At 39.1% G+C, this 20,982-nt stretch overlaps 1 protein-coding gene across 4 annotated transcripts in view, besides 1 other annotated feature; it reads right to left on the reverse strand.

Annotated features, from left to right (window-relative positions):
- SGCZ (sarcoglycan zeta) overlaps positions 1–20,982 on the reverse strand; it is a 1,153,587-nt gene that overhangs the window by 1,042,244 nt on the left and 90,361 nt on the right. The gene's annotated exons all lie outside the window — the stretch shown is intronic.
- Positions 10,608–11,108: an enhancer, noted in NCBI's record as "H3K27ac hESC enhancer chr8:14995205-14995705 (GRCh37/hg19 assembly coordinates)". NCBI's record gives its function as "activates a minimal SCP1, AML or CMV promoter by ChIP-STARR-seq in primed H9 embryonic stem cells {active_cell/tissue: H9 hESC(primed)}" and the evidence as "EXISTENCE:reporter gene assay evidence [ECO:0000049][PMID:30033119]".

Here is a 20,982-nt window from a genome sequence, read left to right on the forward strand (position 1 = left end):
TTTAAATTGCCAAATATATATTGAATGCTGATCATGTATGAGACACCATTTTTAAGAACTATAGGGTAGTCAAAGAGGTACAGGCTACAACTATTATCCCCTAAGACATCTAACCCTGATGTAAAAAGTAGAAACATCTATAGGCACACACACACACACACACACACAAACAAACACACACACACACACACACACACACATATACATACATGGCATACCAGGATAGGCGTTATACTATAATTACAACTAAGTGATATGAGACAGCATTCAGCAGAGCAATCTTGTGAAATACCATTCCGTGTCCTGTATAAATATTTCAAATTTAAATAACGTAACTCAGGACTTACTAGACCAGATATAGAGAGCAGTTCTGGGGTATTGCAACATTTAAATTCATCTTTGGGAACTGTTACAGGAGGTTGGGAAAATAATATGTTTTCTTCACACACATAAAATTTTTACAAATATTCTTGTGAATTAACAAAACAAAACAAGATTTTTCTTGTTTTGAAAAAGAGGACAGCCTTTATATTTATATATTATCAGCACTTCTTGGATATTTTTTCAATTTTAAAGTAACTTAAGGAAAGTAAATGGTAAACCATCTGCAATTCATTTATAAAAGTCTCCCTCTTGCATATAGATTATACTCCATATGTGGAATAAAAATAATTCAATATTCAACATTAATGTTATCAACACAAAATAAATAGAAAAGAAATTCCAAAGGAGAGAAACCTAAAAGAACCTAATTTTTACATTTCCAGTTTTGACATGTAATTTTTCAAGCCTTACAATCCTTTAATACAGCTATTTATATTCTATTTCCTTCCTAAATTTAACTATGCTTTCCCCATATGAGACTCAGGATGCTGACCTATAAAACAAAAAGAAATTCCAAAGAATATAGTACGGAAATAATAGAGGTTCATGATGTACTATGCTATTATTCAGGCTGAAAATAAATTGGTTTTCTTTAAGAAGAGACCCTTTTTTAAAGATACCATGTGCCAACATCTGTCCTCTTTTTTTTCACATCCCCTCATTCCACAAGAGCTGGACCACATTGGCGATCCAGAGTCTAGGATCAATTTCATCCACTGGTGGGAAGAAGAGTTATTTTCAGTGCTCTCCCACATATCTCCAATGTGTTAATTCAGCTCCCGGTGATGTCTTGGTTACTCTAAATGGAAATGCTGGGTTCCCAAAACCAAGACTCACCTTATAAGCTTTGAGATTTGGGGCCCATTTATTCTCAGCATTTTACCTCTGAGGAATGAAGTCTTGTCTCTGAACTCCAGCCCATGCCTCAGCTCCCACTGCTGGGGATAAATATTCCTTATGCAGACGTTTTGCAGGCCTGCCTGCCTGGCTGAGCTCAGCACGCCATCTGTTCTGGGACTCCCCTTCACTAAGCTCTGATTGTCCCTCCAGACTCTCCATTTAGTCCTTGGTGCTCTGACACCAACTGCTATTCTGCACTCTCTCACTGCTGGTGACAAGGTTGAATCTCAGAAGCGCCCTGTGATCCTGGAATACAGTATAAGTTAATAAATCCTCCCATAGTTTGTGTTCTGTGAAATGGCTTACTGCAAAGAAACACATGTCCCCACAAAACTTAGATAAGAAACAGATGCACTCCTTTACCTATGACAAGGCCACAACACAGATCCTTCAAATTTCCATTCTTGGCCTCAGAAATGACAAATTGATCAATCAGAACAAAATGCAAAATTCTCTCCTTCCCCTTAGACTGCTGAACTTTACACACAACCTCTGGAGAATAAGCTGATTTCAGAATAAAACATTCTCTTCTCTGCTGTCTGATCATACCACCATTCCTCACCCACCTCCCCAAACTTGGTGAATTCCAGCCATGTTTACCTCTCCCTGTAAAAGAAAATCTGTCTTTTGCTCAACTTTTGAGACCTACCAGATCTCATAGTGGAAGCTATCTCCCTATTATCTTCCTCCACCTATAATCATCCCTTTCACCACTCTTGTAATAATCCTTTCAAATAAAGTATCTTCTTCTTTCAGTCCAAATTTCCTTTTTATTTGACACTGGTCAGTGAGCTTTCTGTCTGCATAACTGAAGTGGCTGACTTTTTCGTATTGCCGGGAGTAGTTTTTGTCTCGCACTACCCCTAATCGCGTCTATTAATGTCCACACTTTCTTTTGCAACCACACCCAGATACCACTCCCTACACCCTTCCAATCTTTCTTTCAAAGCTTGCCACAGTTAACACTTAGAGTCTATGCACCACAAGTTATTATTATATTAGCCTTCCTATCCTCAAACTCATTCAATTCATAACATTTTTAGTCAAAGATCTAGAAAGTAACATCCAAACTGTTTAACTAAAATTCTTCCAAGATGCCTCCATCTTATTGCCATCAAATGTCCTCTCATCTCACACATCCACAATGGAAAGCTTTTAAGAAATTTGTCAGAAACTCACAAGCAAGGAAAGAAATAGCACTGGAAAATGTTTCTTATTACTTGAGAAAAGTGCTTGATAACCAGCCATGCATGGGAACAGCATCATTGAAATAGAGGCGTGTAAGTGCACTCAAGCCACAAGGTCCCGTTCGGGTAAAGTCAGAGAAGCATTTGCAAAAAAAAAAAAAAAAAATCACAGTTCTTCCTTCAATTTCCTGGTAAAAACACACAGATTAAATGGAACTCTCTTTGCAGGAAGTTGCCATGCTTCAAATGACATAGAAAATTAGCTAGGAAGCAGTGAGCACCCTTCTGCTCCACGTCCTCTGTGTCCTCAGACAGTCACCACCACCGACAGCCTTGTTTTATGAAGTCGGATAAATATACTCCCACATATGCATATATACATATACATATGTATATATTTAGTAATCTCAGTATTTTAAAAATGACATTGGTGATGCATCCTGTATGACTAAGTAGGCCAAAAAATATGAGTTGTTCTTTTCTCTCTTCTAATCAGAATGAGGCATCCTATTTTGGTCGATTTTGGTGTTATCTGTAATGATATTTGAGGCCCTTCTCTATCGGGAGGTTTTGGCATTTCTTAAAGGAATGTGTTGGCTCACTCACTACACTCTGTTCTTGCTGCTCCTAAAGGCTCCTGGCGAGCTGCAAAAACTGAGCTGTGCAGCAAGGCTGTGGTGTGATGGCTAAGTGGCCGTGCAATGTTTCATTACCATAAGGATGCCAATATAGGGGGAAGCCACTTGACGGGAAGTAATCTGCAGGCTCAGCACTTGGTGCAATGGCCCACATATCTACCCAGTGTGCTGAAATTCCAGCAAGGGAAATGAATGCACTAAAAAGAAATGCAAATGAGAAAAATTAATAAACACACGATTACCAAAAGAATTTTGTAGCAAATACATACAGGAAATGTTCTATATCCACAGTAAATAAATATTACAGGAAGCTAAACTGCACTAAGCTAAACAGTTTTTAGAAATGCTCCTCATCCCAGCAGGCTGGCATTCCGTGTTTAAAACGGATGTGTCACTTCAGTTAAATTATCACTCGTTTATTTACTTCAGTCTCTTTCAATGTCTGTTACTTTAAGAATAAATGATATAATGAGGCTGTGTCAATTCTGATGAAAGTATTTTCCACCATCATCAAATATTGTAAATAATTGTAAGCATTACAAGCAGTGATTCCATGCCAAAATTATGCATACTACCTAAGATTATATGCCTATGTTTTCTGAATATTCATCACCTGGGTATACAGAAGGGATATGAATGACAAAATCACTACAAAATCTATAAAGTTGAAGATAATGTTTTTTCACAATATTCTTAACACATCCCCATCCATTTTATATTATTTATTGAGCATTTACTATGTGTTGACCATTGTGCTAGATACGGGGCTTACAAAAATGAATGAACTCAGCAGCCTGTAGTTTCAAATGAAGTTACTAGGATTTTTTTCAAAATGCTATCTATAAGCAAGCTGAGGAAGCATCAAGATTTACTTCCAAATATTTGAAAAATGATTACCAAGTAGAGTGACACATTAAGTTATTAACTAATGACTTAAATAAGGTGCTTCAGTGATATCGTTTGTCTGTGTCCCCACCCAAATGTCATCTTGAATTGTAGCTGCCAGGATTCTCATGTGCTGTGGGAAGGGCCCAGTGGGAGATAACTGAACCATCAGGATGGTTTCTCCCATACTGTTCTCATGGTAGTAAGTCTCATGAGATCTGATGGTCTTATAAGGGGTTTCCCCTTTCACTTGGCTCTCATTCTCTCTTGCCTGCCGCCATGTGAGACATGCCTTTCACTTTCTACGATGATTGTGAAGCCCTGCCAGCCACGTGGAACTGTGAGTCCATTAAACCTCTTTTCCTTTATAAATTACCCAGTCTTGGATATGTCTTTATCAGCAGTGTGAAAATGGACTAATACACTAAGGAAGTTCCAAATATATCTTATGCGTACAATCAAATGATATTTTATTTTTATGTCCAAATAAAGTGAAATCATAAATATTCTGGGTCTTTTTTATATTTTAGCCAAAGACATCCCGATTTCTGTGAGTCAGCTAAGTATGTTAGCGCGGCATCTTCTCAAGGAAAAGTTTTTTCCTGCAGAACAGTTATTGAGTCCCCTAATAGCAACCAGCTCTGTTCATCATTTATGCCACCAAAGGCCAAACTCCTCCTTATCCCATGAAAACTAGCCATGAGGCTGGCACAGGGAATGGCTAAAAAAACATCTTGAGAAGAATAAATATAGTTTTGGTGGAGGTGAAATGTGTTTCTCAGCCTGAAAGGTCTGCAAGCTCTTCATCTTTCCTATTTCATGATAAGACATCAACAAATACCCTTTTATGAAATGAATGTTTGCATGATAATTACTAAGCAACTCTTATTTGTAACAGAGCTAAGCAATTTAACACCTTCCAGCCATTTTCTAGAACAAATGTATAATCATAATTCTTTCAATGCATTGGTGGAAGTACATAAAAGCCCCTGGAAATTGTTCATTTTGCTTACTTAAAGCCATTAGCTCAGTTAATTACAAGTCATTGTCTTGCTATTATTTTTTTCATACAGTTTCTTTCCACATTGCCATTTATTTAGCAAGAACCACACACAATGGAGTTAAAGAGATTTAAAAGTGATTGGAAAAGAGCACACTAGAAGTCCCACATTCCTCAGACCCGCAGCATCATAATCTTTTACTTGCCTGTAGACACTGTGTATGTAATGCCGGTTTGCCTGAGTCCACTGTCTTCACAGCACAAGAAGATGTTTATCATCAGACTATGGAGTCTAACACCTCAATCTCCCCTTATACCAAATTTTCCTGTTCTTACAGCCGCCATCACATGCCTCATGGAGATACAATAGGCAAGGCATGAATGAATAGATGCATGCATGAAAACCAGTGGAAGGTTTACATGAGAGGGAAGACATATGAAATCAGATTTTTAAATTATCATTTTAATCCACTTATGCTAATTTTGGGAGTACTGTGGGTTTCTTGACTAATAATTTAACCAGAAAGACTTTGTAACAGTGACTTTCTCCATAGACTCTAAAAAATTTAACGAGTTGTGAGAGCAATTGGTAAATATTGAGGAATTTTGAAAGCCAGTTGCTACATTTTTGGTAGCTTGAGATTAGTCATTATTGGCATGTGTTTACACCATGGCAGTCAGCAAATGCTTCCTCTCTCTCTTTCTCATTTGAGAGCCTGTTCACCACCATACCATTGCTAAGACCTTCATAAAGTTCTAGCAAAAATAAAAGAAGTGGCCAGGCACAGGAACCCATGCCTGTAATCTCACCACTTTGGAAATCCAAGGTGGGTGGACTGCATGAGCCCAAGAGTTCAAGATCAGCCTGGCAACATGATGAAACCCCATATCTACAAAGAACACAAATAAAATTAGCCAGGCATGGTGGCGTGGGCCTGTAGTCCCAGCTACTTGAGAGGCTGAGGTAGGAGGATGGCTTCAGCCCAAGAGGTGGAGGTTGCAGTGAGTCAAGATCATACCACTGCACTCCAGCCTCAGAGACAGAGTGATACCCTGTCTCAAAATATATAAATAAATAAATAAATAAATAAGACAAGTATTCTCAATTTACCTAATTTCCCAAGTAACAAGATCATGATGTGCCTTTTACATTTTCTGTCCATATTCTTTTGGTATGTGTTTTTGATAAACTCTTCTTCTTAGAGTTATAAATGTAACACAAGTATTAGCCACTTTGTAAGTCAGTACTTGTTTTCATAAGTCCAAAAACTGCCCTCAAACATCAGTGAAGCTAGCAAGCAAGCAATATCCTCCCTATCTCTACAGGTCATGATTTCATAGCCCTCAGTGAAAATCTTTCTCAGCCTACGTCTTTTCTGGCTGAAAAAGTCGATTTTAGACTCTCGTTATCTTCCCTGCTCTTCCTCACAGTTCTTTTTACTCACTCTTCTCTGGGACTCTTTCAGTCAGTCTTTTCTTAAATACTGTAGTCAGATTCATTTGCAGTATCTCACTTGTAGGAGAAAACAAAATCTGCCACATAACCACAGTAAACTGATGTCTTTTACTCTCTTATGTTTACTTATGAATAATGCCCATGTAATTTAACAAAAATGACAACAGTAAGACAGAACCAAAGTCTTCACAACAAACGAAGATAATAAGAGTAGACCATATCAGAAGAGATTAGTAGTTGAAGTTTATATTAGCTCTGAGCAGAAAATGAGCCTAATGAGATTCTTAATTTCAGATTTGTGAAAAAAACAAGTGTTAAAACCACTTAACAATGATCCTTTGCTAATTTTTGAGGGAAGTCTATTTTTCTTAGTAAGCCTGGTATTAGGCATCTATTTCAATGTTCTGTTTTTAATATTATCAATGAAAGAAAAATTATTCTGAGAAATTAATATTAACTCTATTAATATTAACGATTTATCAGCTTAAGTATGTGCTGATTAAGACACTTAATAAAATACTTGATTAAGGCAGATGACTGAGGCCACTTAATTCTGTATTTTGCCTTTATAAGGCTATTTAATAAATATTTAAGCATCCTTTAAAAATCAAGCTTTATCTTTACACTACCTTTCCCTTTACAGTAAAAACAAACAAACAAAAATCATTATCATACCAGCTGGAAAAGGTTAACTTTCATAGGTAGTATCATCTCATAAACATAACTTTGGTATTTAAATGTAAATATACAATAGGAGCATTAGGTCTTTTTTTTTTTTGTTTCTTTACTTCCAATAATTTGATTTTAAACCTTAAAGCCTAAACTAAATTACATGGTCAAAAAATTACCAGAGAATCTAATTTAAGCTATATGCCCAAGGGTACATTCACTGAGCAATTACAACCTCCAAGCAAAAGGTATTCCCTAACTGAACAATGAGCGGTATACTCATATTGAAAAATAGCGCATTTTTTTTCCTTTTATATAATAAAATCCTTTCAATTTTAGGATATCACTTTAAGCGCAGAAATAACTGATCACAAACTTTGAAGAACTCTCAATGTAGCATGTACTCCTTGCATAATTGTGCAAGATTTAAGCATACACAGCTGATTCTATGCAAGACGAGTCACCAAAAAGCCCAATTCAGAGTTTCTCAAGTTATTTCCTATGACACACTTGTGTTTGACAAAATACTACAGAGAATATTCCAGAAAGGATGCAGTAATGATCAAATGAGTTTGGAAAACTGTGTAACAGAAAGAAAAATATCTCAGAACTTTTAATATATGAGTATGCTTTTTTTTGATCATTACGGAATCATTATGCATTACTTCTGAAACACGTTTGAATGTTAAACAGTTTGCTTTCAACATCTTAGTTTTTGAAAGACAATAGTTTTTCAAGCAATGTTGTTTCAAAATGTGGTTACTCTAAGCGTTAGCTACCAATTTGCTAGACTTTTGCTCTTCAGTTGCTACATTTGAGTGATTTGAGTTCATTTAGGCATCTTCATATCTGAAATGCTGTCCTAAATATGGTTCCCTACAGCTTTCAGGCTGAGAAAAATTATATGCAACTTTATTTCTTGAGTTTTGACCCTTTCTAAATTATAGATAAATTATGGTTCTGAGCATTCAGTTCACCATTTATTTTTCTGTGCTATTAAGTAGATCAATGTATTCCCCTAAAGGCAAATACTCTATTTCTAACAACACTTTCTACCTAAAATATTGCTGAAAACTTTTGGGTAAATGAACGAGTCAGAAAAAGCAGAGTTGCTGAAATTGGCTCATTTTCACTGATTTTGTATTTTAATCTGGCTTTTCATTTGAAAAGAGAGCTACAGAATGATGTTAAATGAAAAATGACATTCCATAATTCTTCCATTCACATTTTCCTAGCACATGAAGAAAACAAAGTCACCTTGTCAAAAAGACTCGGCATCTCATTAAAATGTGTAGAAATCTCTACATGCTGTTTTCTACATATTTACCAACTCTAATAGATGGAGCTGCATTTTGAGCAAGAACGTTTTTCTGTCTTTACAGAGTAAGCAGTGGACTTCTACAAATTCTGGAGGCTCTTAGAAATTGTGGCTCTGTATTTTGATTAAGGTAAGTAAGCAAGTCAAACAGTGTTTAGACTGTGTGTAGTACTGATGCCGGGCAGGCAAGCCCCAGAACTGGGGCTTGGCCTGGGATGGTTCTTGGCCTATCCCAGGAAATAATTCGAGGGTGAGCTGGTGGGGTTAGACAGCAACTTTTATTGAAGTGGTACTGACCAGCAGCAGCAGAGGGATTGCTCCTTGAGGAGCAGGGCTACCCCATCCATAAGCAGTATGCCCAAAGTAGCAGCTCAGGGGCAGTTGCACAGGCATATTTATACCTACTTTTAATTATATGCAAATTAAGGAGATTATGCAGAACTTTCTTTTAAAAAACGGTGGTAACTTTCAGGTTATCGGGTCATTGCCATGGAAAGGGGCAACAGCTTCTAGGTGTTGACAGGGCAATGGTAAACTGACATAGGACACTGGTGGGCATGGCTTATGGAAAGCTCCTTCTGTCCCATCCCTGTTTTAGCTGGTCCTCAATTTGGTCCAGGGTCCAAGACCCACCTCTGGAGTCAAGCCCCACCTCCTGAGTAGAGTCCTGCCTCCTACCTCAGTACCCTGCTCAGGATCATTTTGTATGCACCATGATTATTTAAACTTTCTGTGCCTCAACTGGCCCCTTGTAACAGGCAATGAGTTTATTGGATGGTTCATGCTTTAAGCCATGAGATGGCATTCTAGTGATAGGAGAGCTTCAGGTGCCCTGATCTGAATAGCAGGTGTCACTCCAGCATACTTGATAAGAGGCATGAGCTTACAGATGACTTATTTGAGTTGACGAAGTAGGAGAGACTGTGGGGAGGTGGGTAATTGTCAGGGAAGGGCATTGATATTGTTTGGCTGAGTCCCCACCCAAATCTCATCTGAATTGTAGATCCCATAATCCTCAGGTGTCATGGGAGGAACCAGCTGGAGGTAACTGAATCATGGGGGTGGTTTCTCCTATGCTATTTGCCTTATAATGAGAGTCTCATAAGATCTGATGCTTTTATTAGTGTCTGGTATTTTCCCTGCTTGCTCTCATTCTCCATTTTGCCACCCTGTGAAGAGGTGCCTTTAACCATGATTGTAAGTTTCCTGAGGCCTCCCCAGCCAGGCAGAACTGTGAGTCAATTACACCTCTTTTCTTTATAAATTACCCAGTCTCAGGTATTCTTTCAGAGCACTGTTAGAACGCAATAATCCAGTAAATTGGTACTGGTAGAGTGAGGTGCTCATATAAGGGTACTGGAAAATGTGCAAGCAGCTTTGGAACTGGGTACTAAAGGCAGAGGATGGAACAGTTTGGAGGGCTCAGAACAAGACAGGAAAATGTGGGAAAGTTTGGAACTTCTTAGAGACTTGAAGGGCTTAGAAGACAGGAAGATGTGGGAAAGTTTGTAACTTCCTAGAGATTTGTTGAATGGCTTTGACCAAAATACCGATAATGATATGTACAATAAAGTCCAGGCTGAGATGGTCTTAGAGGGAGATAAGGAACTTGTTAGGAAGTAGAGCAAAGGTGACTCTTACTATGTTTTAGCAAAGAGACTGGTGGCATTATGCCCCTGCCCTAGATATCTATAAACTTTGAACTTGAGAGAGATGATTTAGCGTATCTGGTGGAAGAAATTTCCAAGTGGAAAAGATTTAAGAGGAAGCAGAGCATAAACATTTGGAAAATTTGCAGCCTGACAATGCAATAAAAAAGAAAACCCCATTTTCTGGGGAGAAATTCAAGCCTGCTACAGAAATTTCTATAAGTAACAAGGAGCAGAATGTTAAGCACCAAGACAATGGAGTAAATGTCTCCAAGGCATGTCGGGGACCTTCCTGGCAGCCCCTCCCATCACAGGCCCTAAGGTTGAAAAGGAAAAAATGGTTTCCTGGGCTGGGCCCAGGGCCTCCCTGCTGTGTGCAGCCTAGGGACTTCATACCCTGTGTCCCAGATGCTCCAGACTTGGCTAAAAGGGGACAAGGTACAGCTCAGTCCATGACTTCAGAGGGTGCAATCCCCAAGCCTTGGCACCTTTCATGTGGTGTTGAGCCTGCAGCTACACAGAAGTCAAGAAGTGAGGTTTGGAAACCTCTGCTTAGATTTCAGAGGACATATAGACATGTATGAATGTCCAGGCAGAAGTTTGCTGCAGAGATGGATCCCTCATGGAGAACCTCTGCTAGGACAGCATGGAAGGGAAATGTGGGGTTGGAGCCCCCACACAGAGTCCCCACTGGGGCACTGCCTAATGGAGCTGTGAGAAGAGGGCCACCGTCCTCCAGACCCCAGAATGGTAGATCCACTGACAGCTTGCACTGTGTGCCTGGAAATGCCACAGACGCTCAAAGCCAGCCCATGAAAGCAGTCCCGGAGGGGGACTGTACCCTACAAAGCCACAGGGGCAGAGCTACCCAAGGCCATGGGAGTTCACCTCTTGCATCAGCATGACTTGGCTGTGAGACACGGAATCAAAGGAGATCATTTTGGAACTTTAAGGTTTAACGAATGCCTTACTGGATTTTGGACTTGCACGCAGCCTGTAGCCCCTTGTTTTGGCTAATTTCTACCATTTGGAACAGGTGTGTTTACCCAATGCCTGTACTTCCATTGTATCTAAGAAGTAACTAACTTGTTTTTTATTTTACAGGCTCATAAGCAAAAGGGACTTGTCTTGTCTCAGATAAGACTTTGGAGTTGGGCTTTTGAGTTAATGCAGGGATGAGTTGAGACTTTAGGGGACTGTTGGGAGGGCATGATTGTGATTTGAATTGTGACGACATGAGATTTTAAAGGGGCCAAGGGCAGAATAATATGGTTGGGCGGCACCCCCACTCAAATCTCATCTTGAATTGTAGCTCCCATAATCCCCACGGGTCATGGGAGGGACCAGTTGGAAGTAACTGAAGCATGAGGGTGGTTTCCTCCATGCCGTTCTCATGATAAAGAGTGTTTCACAAGATCTGGTGGTTTTATAAGTGTCTGGCATTTCCCTTGATTGCACTCATTCTCTCTCCTGCCACCCTGTGAAGAGGTGCCTGCCACCATGATTGTAAGTTTCCTGAAGCCGCCTCAGCCATGCTGAACTGTGAGTCAATTAAACCTCTTTTCTTTATAAATTACCCAGTCTCAGGTATTTCTTCACAGCAGTGTGAGAAGATAGTAATATAGACAGCTAAGATAAAAATGTTTAAACCATGTGGCTCAGGACGGAGAACCAAAAGGAAGACTTGCTGAACTGGAAACATAAAGGATGGAGTTCAAAAGGGAAAAGCAAAATGTAAATCATATGATAAAGAAATGCCAACGAGAAAAATCAAATAATTTTGTATCAGCTCTACAGATCCATCTATTTTTAAATAGATGGACACTTAATGCTGGATTTAAGCATGCCCTAAGTTAAGTACTTTGGTCTTTATATACATTTCCCTAAAATTTTATTTTCCTCCCTGACAATGGGGCAAATGAATATAAACAGGCCAGAACATGAATGCCTTTGCTGAGGGCTTGGCTGTTCTCCAGTTCCTGCTGCTAAATATTATCAGAGAATAAGCATCAAAACCAAATTTCCCTAATACAATTCTTTAAACATAGTTCATATCCTCAGTGCTTCCAAAATTCTCTATTCTTTAGAGCTTCCTTTCTTAGAGCTTATAAACAACATGTATCAGTCATGGGAGAGGACGGGGTATGTCTAAAGAACTATTTTGAATCTATGTTTATACATCAAGCACACTTTTTTCCTAGACTTTAAGTTGGGACTTAATAAACATAGTAAAGTGTCCTAAAGATGTTACTATTCATACTTTTCAGAAGGTCAATTACCTATATTAAAAGTATCACTATTACTGCTATTGCAATTGCATTTTTTGGAAATAAATATTATTGTGTATATTTAAGGTGACATGGCACTATAAGAAACCTATAGAGAGTAAAATGGTTACCACAGTGAAGCAAAATAGCATATCTACCATTTCACACTTCTTTTTGTGTGACAAAACCAGCTAAAGTCTACTTATTTAACCAAAATTCCAAATACCATAAAATATTTTAACTATAGTCCTCATGTTGTACATTAGATCTCTAGACCTGTACATCCTACATATCTACTACTTCAGGTCCTCAGACCTACACCTCTCCATTTCTCACTCTCTCCCCTGCAATTACTGTTTTATTGTTATCTATTTTTAATTATTAGTGATAGTCTAGAAATAATGACACGGTAGTCACTGAAGTTCCCCCATGGCATGTGACATCTAAACAGCCACTGTCAAAGTCACTATTACTTTATACCTGATTCTATACTAGAGTACCTTATATTACAAAGAAACTGTACCTCTCCTCTATGCATTAAAGTTGGTGGGGGTTGGGGGGACGGACACTGGTTATAAAGCCTTTTTTTTTTATTTTGAGACAGGGTCTCACACTGTTGCCCAGGCTGGAGTGCACTGATGCAATCTTGGCTCTCTGCAACCATCACTCCCAGGCTCAAGCAACATTCCTCCTATCTTAGCCTCCTGAGTAGCTGGGTGCACACAGGTGTGCACCACCATGGTTGGCTAATTTTTTACTTTTTTGTAGACAAAGGGCCTCTCTTTATTGCCCAGGCCAGTCTCGGACTCCTGGCCTCAAGTGATCCTCCCACATTGGCCTCCCAAAGTGCTGGAATAACAGGTATGAGCCACCGTGCCCAGTCATTATAGAGCTTATTTAGAGCTCATAACTAATATAAATAGTGTAATCACTTAGAAACCACTCACCCTTCTTGGGCTTGAATTCTATGCTATCTTTGGTTAAATTTCTTTTCAGAGAGTCAATATCCTCATTTATAGAAAGATCACTTATTTTTCACCCTCTTGAGGATGGAGATAATACAGATTAAGTACTTGGCCCATATTGGTAATTCAACAAATATCAGCTGCCAACTAATAGTAATAATAATAATACCAACAAAAACCAAAAATGACCCATATTATTTACTTTTAATACCTCCTTTTTCTTCTACAATAATTTTATATTTACTTTTTTGTGTAAGTAATCACATACTGTATTTCCCCTGTCTATAATATTTGTCTCTATAGGCGATTCAGAGAGCTTTCTTTTTAGTTCAGATTATACTTTATCTATTATCCATCAAGACAGCTCAGTTATCCTGCTCATTCCATCCTTATTTCAAAATCCATTCATTTCTATCTTCTCATGAGAACCTCAGTAGTATTGAACACTAAGCATAAAACAGAAACAAATACATCTCTGCAGTTTTTGCAGTGACAAGTTGTGTATACTTGCAGTAATGATGACCACCGTACATTTAATGAGGAACTATTATATGTCAAGGATTTATAGCTTTACTTAAGCAATGAGGAAACTATGATGACATAAACTTTGTATATTAAAATAAACTCTGGCTACATCTTACATTTCTTTTCCCATGTTCCTTTTGCCCTGACTTCTTATGTAATTTTCACCTTGTTGCATGATCTTATGTCTAAAATCTTTCTCTTATACACATTTATGACAAATATTGAGGAATTAATTATCAATTAACCAATTTGAAATTCAATGCAGTTGAGTAACTTGTCTTTCCCACACAACCCACATAATACCAGGGACTGGTGGTAGGGGTTGTGGATTCAAACCCACTGCAGTCTGATGATACAACTTCTTTTTCCTGGTAAGATCTGTTGATTCCATGTTGACTTTACACAGTATTTCAATGAGTCATGTTGATTTAGGTATAAATTCTTAGGGCGTCAGCCATATTACATGAATGTCCTGGAGTTTGGGAGCACAGAATATCTAATTTATGTTTTAAAAAGATGTCCACATCAGTGGCTAAAATTTCCTAAACTCAGAACAGGGACAGATTTTAGGAAGTAATTGTACTCTCAATGATGATAAATGAAAGTGTATGACTTGGGTCCCTAGATTCTGTCTGGGGATCTTCCTTAGAAGGCTCTGCCCAAGAAGGCTTTGACTAAAGTGAGAACCTCATCCATGCACGGTGGCTCACGCCTGTAATCCCAGCACTCTGGGAGGCCAAGGCGGGAGGATCACGAGGTCAGGAGATCAAGAGCATCCTGGCTAACACGGTGAAACCCCGTCTCTACCAAAACTACAAAAATCAACTCGGCGTGGTGGTGCGTGCCTGTAATCCAACTACTCAGGAGGCTGAGGCAGGAGAACCACTTGAACCCAGGAAGCGGAGATTGCAGTGAGCCAAGATCACGCCACTGCACTCCAGCATGGCAACAGTGTGAGACTCTCAAAAAAAAAAAAAACAAAAAAAATGAGAACCTCAGTGAAAAGATCTGTCAAATGCAGAAAGGAAGGAGCCTGTAGCAGTGGAAGACCCTGGGACAGGCACCGGCTGCATCAAGAAAGCTCAATTGGAAAGACCGAGTAGGAAAATTCTCAAGAGCTTATAAAGGTTCCCAACAGATGGGGAAGAGAGGACCTTGATGCTGAAGTTGGAGTTGAGCATCCCACTGAAATGGACATGTTTATTACAAACACGAGATGATTCTTTTCATAAAATGACTAGAGGACTTTTGATTAAGAGGGAGCAGATGGGTTTTAGGGTCTAAGATTTTATTGAGGGGTAGGGAAATAACCCTAGAGTATGTTTAGGCAGGCACTGAGTAGGAGAAATGTTGTTTCTTATTGCACTCTGAGAAGTTATGTTGTTTCAACATAATGCTTGAGTAATTAATTATATATTGGTTATATTTAATACCAGATGTGGATATACTGTAATATATTTGATGTATTTTGAGGTGGAGCCTCTAAAATTGGGAGTACCTAGAGCCTACAGAATGTTTCTTTCAAGTCCTTTAAATTCAGAAAGATGTGAAGCTAAAGTAGAGACTGGGAGTCTAGAAACTGGCCCTCAGCCTGCAAGACTCACAGAGCACACTACTAACCCTGGGCAAGAGACATCATGTAAATCACCCCCCAATTACCATCCAGTCTTATTCAAGTAACAATGATGACTTCCCATACTACGAAATCACCAGGAAAATAAATGCTTCCCGCCCCCACCCCCCAATCTCATCTCACTGTAACCTCCGCCTCCTGGGCTCAAGTCATCCTCCAACCTCAGCCTCCCGAGTAGCTGGGCCTACAGGCACACATCACCGCACCCAGCTACTTTTTGTATTTTTGTAGAGGCAGGGTTTTGCCATGTTGCCCAGGCTGGTCTCAAACTCCTGGCTCACCCAATCCACCCACCTTGGCCTCCCAAAGTGCTGGAATTACAGGCCTGAGCCACCGTGCCCAGCCAAAAATGCTACTTTAAATGACGCTTTCTATCTGTAATATTTTTATGGTACACTGAAAAATATTATGCTAAGGGTTAACCTATAGTTTTGAGAAGGACGTACTGTCCTAGAGTATTTCATGACAATTTCTTTTCCTTTCCAAGGTACATTTGCAGTTGCTAAGGAACCAAATTTCACAGCCATGGCTATCTAGCAATACCATATGTGGATAATGTCAGAATAATTTTGTGATAGCTACTGTGAAGCCAAAAATCATGGACATTAGAAATAAGAAAAAATTTCATTAGATTGTCTGCTACAAACATAATAAAAGTCTAGTTCTCCAGTAGAATGAGTGTTCCACCATGAGAGGAACCTTATATATCGGTTTATCATTCTACCTTTTAGCCTAGCATAACTCTAGCACGTAGTAGGCATTGAAAAATATCTATTGAAAGAATAAAGATGTTTCTTCTCACTAGTACTCAAAAGCAGAATTATTTCTATAAGGCTCAAGCAAAGTAGCTCTCACAGGAAAAAAAATGAAATGTATTTAAGAGAATTTCAAAGAAACATTTTGCATTTATAATATTCTCATGCTCCAGTTTTCCAAAGTGTTTTGAAAATAGCCAGATCATTGGAAATTAGTTAAGTACCATTTAGGTTTTATTTAAGTTACTTCTTTCTGAAAACCATGGCTTACAAAAACACATGGGTTTAACCCATCTATTAACACATCTCCTAGTCTCACTATGTCTGACACTAGGAGAATTAACCCATCTCCTTGGGGCTCAGTTTTTGCATCTCTAAAGTAAGGTAGTGTTTCCTTATAATTTAGTTATTGTAATTGCTTATTTATCTGTGGTCAATCTATTATTACCTTTTTTTTTTTTTTTTTTTTTTTTTTTTGAGACGGAGTCTCGCTCTGTCGCCCAGGCTGGAGTGCAGTGGCGCAATCTCGGCTCACTGCAAGCTCCGCCTCCCGGGTTCACGCCATTCTCCTGCCTCAGCCTCCCAAGTAGCTGGGACTACAGGCGCCCGCCACTACGCCCGGCTAATTTTTTGTATTTTTAGTAGAGACGGGGTTTCACCGTTTTAGCCGGGATGGTCTCGATCTCCTGACCTCGTGATCCGCCCGCCTCGGCCTCCCAAAGTGCTGGGATTACAGGCGTGAGCCACCGCGCCCGGCCCTATTATTACCTTAACTTAGCAAAATATCTGTTTCATTTCTGCTTTCTGGGTGAGAGGAAACATCAGTTTCTGGCATTTTGAAGTTGGTGTAATAAAAGGTGATACAGAATCAGAAAATTGCATTCCACAAATGATATCACAGTTCTTGGCAAAGGTTCAGACTTAAAATATTTCTTATGCATTTTTAATGTACTTGATCCTATATATCTTTGTTATATGCTACACAATTTCAACAAAGCTCTACAGCTTCTGTGTTATTTTTGTACCTCAGGTTGACCTATTATTGTTGCATATCCTCAAATATTAACGTTTCCTAGTTTAATGAAGGCTTTTCATGCAACAGGCTCAGAAGTAGTTCTATACAGTTTGTTGTCTTAGCAGGTTGACATTCACTTTTTTTTTTTTTGACTAAGTCTCGCTCAGTCACCCAGGCTTCAGTGCAGTGGAGCCACCTTGGCTCACTGCAACCACCTCCCGGGTTCAAGCGATTCTCCTGCCTCAGCCTCCTGAGTAGCTTGGAATACAGGCACATGCCGCCACACCCAGCCAGTATTTTTAGTAGAGACAGGGTTTCACTCTGTTGGCCATGCTATTCTCGAACTCCCGACCTCAGGTGGTCTGCCCATCTTTGGCCTCCCAAAGTGCTGGGGTTACAGGCATGAGCAACGGCGCCCAGCCAACATTCACCTTTTAAAATAAATATTTAACTTCTGTTAGTTTGCAGGGAAAAGCAGCAGTGCTTAGGGACACATTAATTTTAATTAATTTTTTCCTATCATTTTCCGGTGTACCGTACCACATATTGTGGTGCTGTATGTAACCTGATACATTCCATCTGCTGCTTTTATTCTCTTCAGTCACTATGTGATTTCACAAAACAAGAGAAACCAAGTTTGTCTGGCATAATAAACTCCTGTGATTTTAGCTGTTTAGCCCTGTAGATTGTTCTCCTACGAGTACTTACAGATTTCTTTTTACTTCATCTTTAAATGATTGCACAGAGTCACAAGACATCCTTTGATCAGAGCAAATTATTCCCCAAGCCCTGCCGTATCGCCTCAGTCCTTCTGGCTTCTCTGTGAAGGTTATAACTAATTCTTTACGATTCTGAAATTCAGCCATGTTCATTATACATTCTCTTTTGTACCTATAGCTGATCAACTGTTAAATTAGGTGAACCAGTAATGAAACTAATCTAAAGCGTCACCAAAACTAAAATATTATTTGGTAATAACTTTTCAAGGAGCTCAAGAGTTGTCAATACCCTCAAATGAAAGAGACATTCCATTTTGGTAGAGTGAGGAAGGAGTGGGCTTTGTAAGCTACTGACTGCTTTGAAATCCCAGATCCACATCTACTATGTGAATTAAGCCACTTAGTATCTCGGAACTTCTGTCTTCTTTTTTTACACAGTTTCTCACCTTGTCACCTACGCTGAAGTGCAGTGGTGCCATCATAGCTCACTGCAGCCTGGAACTCCTGGATTTGAGTAATCCTCCTGCCTCAGCCTCCCAAGTAGCTTGGACTACAGGTACACACCATCTGATTTTCTTTTCTTCAGAGACAAGGTCTTACTATGTTTCCGAGGCTGGTCTCAAACTCCTAGGCTCAAGTAATCATCCAACCTCAGGCTCCCAAAGTGCTGGGACTACAGGTGTGAGCACCATACGTGGCCCTCCATCTTCCTAAAGAATGGAGATAGTAACACCAACTCTTTAGACTGATGTGAAGACTAGGTAAAAGACTAAAAGAAAATGGCACAGAAATTTATGATTATCAAGGAGGTTAAACACATATATTTATCTCCTCTGCCTCCCTAGAACTTGAATAAAAATGAGTCAAGGGAATAAAACTGTATAAACTCCAAAAAGGCAAAGAGAATGGGTGAGGGGGTAACAGTAGAGGAACAAGGGGATGAATGCTATCTGCTGTAAGCATCCCTCTCTCTGCTCTGTTAGTGGCCATGAATAGGAGACGGGAAGAAGTGAGAGGGGCTAAAAAAGAAGAAATGATTCATAAATCTGAGCAATTTGAAATAAATGAATGAGAACTTAGAAAACTAAGAAAAAAATTGAAATAAATAGTAACTCCAGGAAAAAGAAAAAGTCATACAAAAAAAAGAAATATAAGTGAAGCACAAACATCTAATCTTATTCAATGTTTACAAAAATATAATGATGTAAATGCCTACCGTTGATTTTCGTCGGAAAGGAATATATAATTATATATAAATGTTACGAATATAAGAGAGCTAAATTCTAATCAATTATTTGAGGAAGCCAATTTTTAAACATTTATTTATTATGAGAAATGGAGTCTCCATATTGTCCAAGTTGGAGTGCAGTGGCTAACAGGAATGATCATGGCATACTACAGCCTCAAAGTCCTTGTTCTCTAGTGATCCTCCTGCCTCAGCCCCGTGAGTAGATGGGACTACAAGAATGTACCACTGTACCTGGCAGGAGGCCAATTTTTAAAAATCAAAAGAATAGTTTCAGTAGTGTATTCTGTTTGTAGCTTTAGTGTTATAATTTTGTTTTCTATATGAAGATAATACTAAAAGAAATCTCACAGTTGAAAGTAACCTCTGTGAGCATGGGGAAGGAATGGTAACATCACTCATTTTCATTATAATACCTGTACTATTTTTTTAAATTATGTATTAATTACTTTGACAAAAATATTTTTATAAAAGAGACTGGCAAATGCATGATCTTTTCTGAATTATTCTTCAATATCTTTTTATTAGCATCCTAATAAAGATCAGTTGTTTAGGCTATCATTAGGTTAATAAAATTATGTTAATACTGTATAGCAACTTAAAAGAAATTCAATTAATCATCCCTTAACACAAGCCTAACACAGATGCCCACAAAAGTAAAATGCCAAGTATCTTTCAATGTTTAATTTACTATTGAAGGGCTGAAAACTGGAAGGCAATTTTCAATAAACTTGGTCTAGGTCATCATGAAATTACCTTTCAAAAGTTAGATCCAAGATAATATACATCATTGAAAATATTAATTTATTGTTAATTATCCAAGCAGTATACCTATGATATTAATACTGCTGGTAGAACACTGGAAAACCTGCATCATCTAAAGCTCTTGAGAACCATAATCTACTCCCAACACATTCTATCATCCTCACTCCCCAACCTACCCCATCCCTCATGAAGCAGAAATTAAAAGGACATCGCTGTTTTGTTCTGTTTTTTGAGACGGGCTTTCACTCTTTTTGACCAGGCTGGAGTGCAATGGCACCATTTTGGCTCACCACAACCTCCGCCTCCCGGGTTCAAACAATTCTCCTGCCTCAGCCTCCCGAGTAACTGGGATTACAGGCATGCACCACCATGCCCGGCTAATTTTGTATTTTTAGTGGAGACGGGGATTCTCCATGTTCGTCAGGCTGGTCTCGAACTCCTGACCTCAGGTGATCCACCTCCCTCGGCCCCACAAAGTGCTGGGATCACAGGCGTGAGCTGCCGTACCCGGCTGACACTTCCGTTTTATTGGGTTAATTTAGTGATTTTCCGCTGAAAGTTGGGCAGGACACGATCCCTTATGTAGAATGCATGAGGAAAAACTTGCAGTAGGGGCTGGCTCACAGCCAGATAAGACTGAGAGGAGGGGAGAAGGCCCAGGTAGAATCCCTGTTGCAGAAGGGGTTCTGAGAAGGACACAGTTCACACTCTTCGAAGGGCACTTTGTTGTCAGGGGGAAGACATGCTGAAGAAGGATGTCTATTAATTTTTTCCATGTAATATATACTATGAATTATATATGTCTCTGAATCCTCTGGACAAACCATATAAAAGGTACATTTTTGCTTAATTCGTGGTAGAATTGGGCTTGCTTTTCTGAGATTATAGTAAAGTTTTGAGTCTAGCCTCCTAAGTAGGTAAACCTAAACTTCCATTGTGGTCCTGTGGTCCAAATTTACATTTTCTCTCTTTTCATTCTCAGAAGGGCTCTCAAGGACCAACCAAG

Source organism: Homo sapiens, chromosome 8, assembly GCF_000001405.40.
Source record: "Homo sapiens chromosome 8, GRCh38.p14 Primary Assembly".
In the NCBI taxonomy this organism is placed as follows: Eukaryota; Metazoa; Chordata; class Mammalia; order Primates; family Hominidae; genus Homo; species Homo sapiens.